The following is a 6120-nucleotide window of genomic DNA, read 5'->3' as shown; positions in this document are numbered from 1 at the left end:
AGTCTTGCTTTGTCACCAGGCTGGAGTGCAGTGCCACGATCTCGGCTCACTGCAACCTCCACCTCCCAGATTCAAGTGATTCTTCTGCCTCAGCATCCCGAGTAGCTGGGACTACAGGTGTGCACCACCATGCCCGGCTAATTGTTGTATTTTTAGTAGAGACAGGGTTTCACCATGTTGGCCAGGGTGGTCTTGATCTCCTGACCTCATGATCCACCCACCTCAGCCTCCCAAAGTGCTGGGATTACAAGCATGGGCCACCATGCCTGGCTGTATTTTTCAATCCTAAATTCTCCATTTGGTTCTTTTCCATAACTTCCATTTCTTTGCTGTGTCAAAATCCAGTAAAACATAGAGAAAAATCTCTGAAATTAAAACATTTTATTTAGGAAGAAAGAATTGCAATTTGGGGCACACATACAGACTAGGGAGTCTTCAATATGTCCAGAAAACAAAGGGAAGGTTAAAGGTTTTGTAAAAAGGAGAAATATTACCTATTGCTCTTCAAGAAAGTTCATTGGCATGAAGGAGGTTTTGGGGAGCTGGCAAGCTCTGATTGGTGAGCAAGGGCGGTGAGTAAACCTAGTCTTAGGGTTGCAGCAGGTTGCATCAGCAGCTATTGGGTAAAACTGATTTCAGGTTATAGCAGGCAGTTTCAGCAACCAGGCTTGCAGAGAATTACATTTTTGAAATACTGTTATGTATCAGGAGTGCTTTTCCCCCCGGGCTTCTGGACTTTGTTTAGTTGGGTATGACAAGAATAATCCAGTTTGTAAGATCAGTTTTCACAGCTAAGATTTTTTTTTTTTTTTTGAGATAGGGCCTAGCTCTGTCACCCAGGCTGGAGTGCAGTGGCTGATCACAGCTCACTGCAACCTCTGCCTCCTGGGCTCAAGGTATCCTCCCACCTCAGCCTCTCTAGTACGAGTAGCTGGAACTACAGGCACATGCCACTATGCCTGGCTAATTTTTGTATTTTTTGTAGAGACAGGGTCTCACTATTCTGCCCAGGCTGATCTCGAACTCCTGAGCTCAAGTGATCCACCTGCCTCAGCCTCACAAAGTGCTGGGATTACAGGTGTGAGCCACCGTGCCTGGCCGACAGCTGAGATTTTTAATGCGTTCGTTTGTTTCAAGGGAATTCATAATTGCAGTTGAAGCATTTTTATGATGGCTGCTTTAAAACCCTTATCCAACAATTTATTAATCATTCTGTCATCTCATTAATCTCCGCATTTGTCGATGATTGTTTATTCACACTGAAGTTGAAATTTTCCTTGTTCTTGATAATGATGTGTGAAAGTTGATACCTTCCTTCTACCCCATCCTACCCACTGTCCCTCCCACCTTCCCTTCCTCCCTGGCCCTTCCTTTCTTTCTTCCATCTTCTTTTTCACTTCCCCGCTAACGTCAAGACTGCCTGCTTGATCTCCCTTGCCTTCATTTATGGCTTAAGGCAAAGCGTCACCCACTTTCATTCTTCCCTGTAAACCTCTCACAGTTCAGGTTTCCCCTTCGTGTCCTCTCTGAGCCACTCTCCTCCTGTGCATTCTCATCACTGAAGTCGAAAATAAAGAGACCCAGGAGACAGAGCCAGCAACTCAACACATGGGCCTTGTTTGGTTTTCAGCTCAACAAAATAGGTGCAAAACCTTCTCTCTTAGTTGTAACCCTTTTCTTCAGTATGAATTTCTTTTTTCAAAAACCATATGTGTGTGTGTGTGTGTGTATAGGTGTGTATACACACACATAAGTGACTGAATTGTGGCCCCAAAACTCATATGTTAAAAACTTAGCCAGGCACTGTGGCTCATGTCTGTAATCCCAGCACTTTGGGAGGCCAAGGCGGGTGGATCACCTAAGGTCAGGAGTTCGAGACCACCCTGACTAACATGGTAAAAGCCCGTCTCTACTAAATACAAAAAAATTAACCCAGCATAATGGCGCATGCCTGTAATCCCAGCTGCTTGGGAGGCTGAGGCAGGAGAACCACTTGAACCCAGGAGGCAGAAGTTGCAGTGAGCTAAAATCCCGCCATTGCACTCCAGCCTGGGCAACAAGAGTAAAACTCCGTCTCAAAAAAAAAAAAAACCTCCAGTGCACCTCAAAGTATGACTGTACTTGGAGATATGACCTTTGAAGAGTTGATTAAGGTTAAATGAGGTCATATGGGTGAGGCTGTTAAAAAAAACTTTAAAAAGACAGTTTTTAACTATTGAAATAAACGGAAATGGTCTGGGTACTGAATTATATCGTTAATTTGCTAGGGGGATCATGTATTATGGTTACGTAAAAAATCTGTATCTGTTAGATATGCACTGAAGTATCTGCAGGTGAAATGATTCAGCAAGAAAAGGTGGGGGTGGGGAATGAGGTCATTGTTGGAACAAGAACAGTGAAATATTGATCCTTGCTGAGGCTGGGTATTGGTATATGGGGGTCTGTTTACACTACCTACACTTGGGTATGTTTGAAATGTCTATAATAGAAACTGAAAAGAAAACCAAAAGCCAAATGTGGATTCTTCACACTCCCTCTTTCTCTACCAAGCCATGTGGAAGAGGTTGCAGTGACTGTGTCACAACCTGGTGAACCTTCTAGGCTTGGGTCCCTGCATGACCACATGGAGCAGAACCTCCAGTGACCTGTGCTGGACTTGGAGGAGAACAGTGGATTAACAAACCTTTGTTATATTGAGTCTTGGCAATTTCACAGTTGGTTTGTTATTGAAGGTATATTGTGGAGTAGAAGAAGTAAATTCAGGACACCAACTATAATGTAATATAATTTGTCATTTAAAAGGGTGTGTACCATTTTGGGAAGCTGAGATGGGAGGATCACTTGAGGCCAGGAGTTCGAGACCAGCCTGGGCAATATAGCGAGATGTCATCTCTACAAAAAATGTAAATATCAGCCAGGTGTGGTGGCGCATGCCTGTAGTTCTAGCTTCTTGGGAAGTGAAGTGGGAGGATTCCTTGAGTCCAGGAGTTCAAGGCTGCAGTGAGCTATGACAGTGCCACTGCATTCCAGTCTGGGTGACAGAGTGAGGCCCCATCTCAAAAAAAAAAAGAAAAAAAAGGCATATACATATGTATGCTTATATATGCAGATAACCTCTCTGGAAGCAAGTATAGAAAACGATAAAACTGTGGGTGCTTCTGGGGACAGGAATTAGAGGACTGGAGACAGGGTAGGAAGGAGAACTTTTACTATAACCTTTTTCTTCAGTTTGAGTTTGTTTTTTCCAAAACCGTGTGTGTGTGTGTGTGTGTGTGTGTGTATACACACACGACTGAATTGTGTACCCAAAAATCACATGTTAAAAACTTGACCTCTAGTACACCTCAGAGTATGACTGTGCTTGAAGATATTACCTTTGAAAGGTGATTAAAGTTAAATGAAGTCTTATGAGTGAGGCTGTTTAAAAAAAAACACTTTAAAAAGACAGTTTTTAACTGTTGAAACAAATGGAAATGGTCTGGAAACTGAATTATATTGTTAATTGGCTAGGTGGGATCATGTATTATGGTTATGTAAAAAAACTCTGTATCTGTTAGATATGCACTGAAGTATGTACAGGTGAAATGACTCAGCAAAAATGGTGGGCGTGGGGAATGAGGTCATTGTTGGAACAAGAACAGTGAAATATTGATCCTTGCTGAGGCTGGGTATTGGTATATGGGGGTCTGTTTACACTATCTACACTTGGGTATGTTTGAAATGTCTATGTAAAAAGGGAACCAAAAACCAGTTGTGAATTCTTCACACTCTCTGTTTCTCTACCAAGCCACGTGGAAGAGGTTGCAATGACTGTGTCACAACCTGGTGAACCTTCTAGGCCTGGGTCCCTGCGTGACCACGTGGAGCAGAACCCCCAGTGACCTGTGCTGGACTTGGAGGAGAACAGTGGATAAATAAACCTTTGTTATATTGAGTCTTGGCAATTTCACAGTTGGTTTGTTATTGAAGGTATATTGTGGAGTAGAAGAAGTAAATTCAGGACACAGTCTATAGTATAATATAATTTGTCATTTAAAAGAGCATGTACCACTTTGGGAGGCCGAGGTGGGAGGATCACTTGAGGCCAGGAGTTTGAGACCAGCCTGGGCAATACAGCAAGATGTCATCTCTACAAAAAAATGTAAACATCAGCCAGGTGTGGTGACTCATGCCTGTAGTTCTAGCTTCTTGGGAAGTGAAGTGGGAGGATTCCTTGAGTCCAGGAGTTCAAGGCTGCAGTGAGCTATGACAGTGCCACTGCATTCCAGTCTGGGTGACAGAGTGAGGCCCCATCTCAAAATAATAATTTAAAAAAGATATATATATATATGCATGCTTATATATGCAGAGAACCTCTCTGGAAAGAAGTATAGAAAACAATAAAACTGTGGGTAGTTCTGGGGACAGGAATTAGAGGACTGGGGACGGGGTAGGAAGGAGAACTTCTACTATAACCTTTTCTTCAGTTTGAGTTTCTTTTTTTCAAAAACCGTGTATGTGTATATATATGTGTGTGTGTGTATAGGTGTCTGTATACACAGTCATATGTGCCTGAATTGTGTCCCTAAAATTTATATGTTAAAAACTTAACCTCCAGTGTACCTCAAAGTATAACTGTACTTAAAGATATGACCTTTGAAGAGGTGATTAAGGTTAAAAGAAGTCATATGGGTGAGGCTGTTTAAAAAAATTTTTTTAAGCCTTGTTTTTTTTTTTTGAGATGGAGTCTCACTGTGTAGCCCAGGCTGGAGGGCAATGGTGCAGTCTTGGCTCACTGCAACCTCTGCCCCCTGGGTTCAAGTGATTCTGCTGCCTCAGCCTCCCAAGTAGCTGGGATTAAAGGCATCCACCACCACACCCTGCTAATTTTTGTATTTTTGCTAGAGACGGGGTTTCACTATGTTGACCAGGCAGTGGAAAGACGTAAGTGAAGTGCAGGCACCTCTAAAATCTCCCCAGAGCCTGCCAAATTACACTCTCTATTTTTTCCCAGGGAAATTTTAATGCATACCTGGGCATGGACCTGACTCATCGGCACCACGTATACTCACCTTACTTTGGGGAAGACCGAGAATGATGGTATCGGTGCCAGGCCTTGAGTTTTCCCTGCCACCGACACCTGCCGGGGCTGGGAGCCCCACCTGTCTCAGAGTCCTGCCTTCCCCAGACACTGGGGTTGGTGGGGTCCCCACCAGGCATGGGAGGCTCAAGGCAGGTTCGGGGTGAAGTGGGGGCCCCCTTCCTTGTCAGCTGTCCTGCCCTGTGGTTCCTGGGGTCCCAAGTGGAGTGACTGTTGCCTGAGTGGCTGGTGGGGAGTCTAGACCTGGCTGAAGCCTGGGCCCCAATGCCAGCCCAGATGAGGAGCCTGAGACTCGGGGGACAGCCCAGGCCCAAGCAGGCTGACAAACAGAAGCACCCAGAACAGGCAGGGCTCCAAGACCTCGCTTTTCCCATCAGAGCCGGGTAACCTGTCACTGGGCCCATGTCTCCTTCTCCCCATGAGTTGTGTGGGGCCTCTGAGCAGGGACCCGGGCAGTGGGCCAGGGCCCCTCTGATCAGCCTCAGCCTAATGGGGTGGAGGAGGCAGGGGCGGGTCTGGTGGGGACTAAGGTGGGAGGGGCACCTGCCCCTAGGAGCTGTGTCTCCCAGAGCGCAGTGTCTTCCCCAGTGAGGCCCGCGATGTCCATCTCCAAAGCAGACTGCTAGGATCTTCAAGTGAGGATCTAAGAAAACAGTCCGGGCCGGGCACGGTGGCTCATCCCTGTAATCCCAGCACTTTGGGAGGCCGAGAAGGGCGGATCACCTGAGGTCAGGAGTTCGAGACCAGCTGGCCAACATCATGAAACCCCCTATCTCTACTAAAAATACAAAAATTAGCCAGGAGTTGTGGTATGCACCTGTAATTCCAGCTACTCGGGAGACTGAGGCAGGAGAATCGCTTGAACCCGGGAGGTGGAGGTTGCAGTGAGCCAAGATCACGCCACTGCACTCCAGCCTGGGCAATAAGAGCAAAACTCGGTCTCAAAAAAAAAAGAAAAGAAAAGAAAAAGAAAAAGTAAACGGTCCGATCTCCCGTAGGTCTGATTATCAGGATGACATCTGGCTGGGGCAGTGGAGATT

At 45.6% G+C, this 6120-nt stretch overlaps 1 annotated feature.

Annotated features, from left to right (window-relative positions):
* Positions 2521-3720: an enhancer, noted in NCBI's record as "MED14-independent group 3 enhancer chr11:69503328-69504527 (GRCh37/hg19 assembly coordinates)". NCBI's record gives its function as "activates an origin of replication core promoter dependent on BRD2, BRD4, P300/CBP and CDK7 cofactors, and independent of MED14, by STARR-seq in HCT116 cells {active_cell/tissue: HCT116}" and the evidence as "EXISTENCE:reporter gene assay evidence [ECO:0000049][PMID:35650434]".

This window comes from Homo sapiens, chromosome 11, assembly GCF_000001405.40.
Source record: "Homo sapiens chromosome 11, GRCh38.p14 Primary Assembly".
Lineage (NCBI taxonomy): Eukaryota > Metazoa > Chordata > Mammalia > Primates > Hominidae > Homo > Homo sapiens.
The sequence above is the reverse complement of the archived record's forward strand: the minus strand, read 5'-3'. Positions and strand labels throughout refer to the sequence as shown.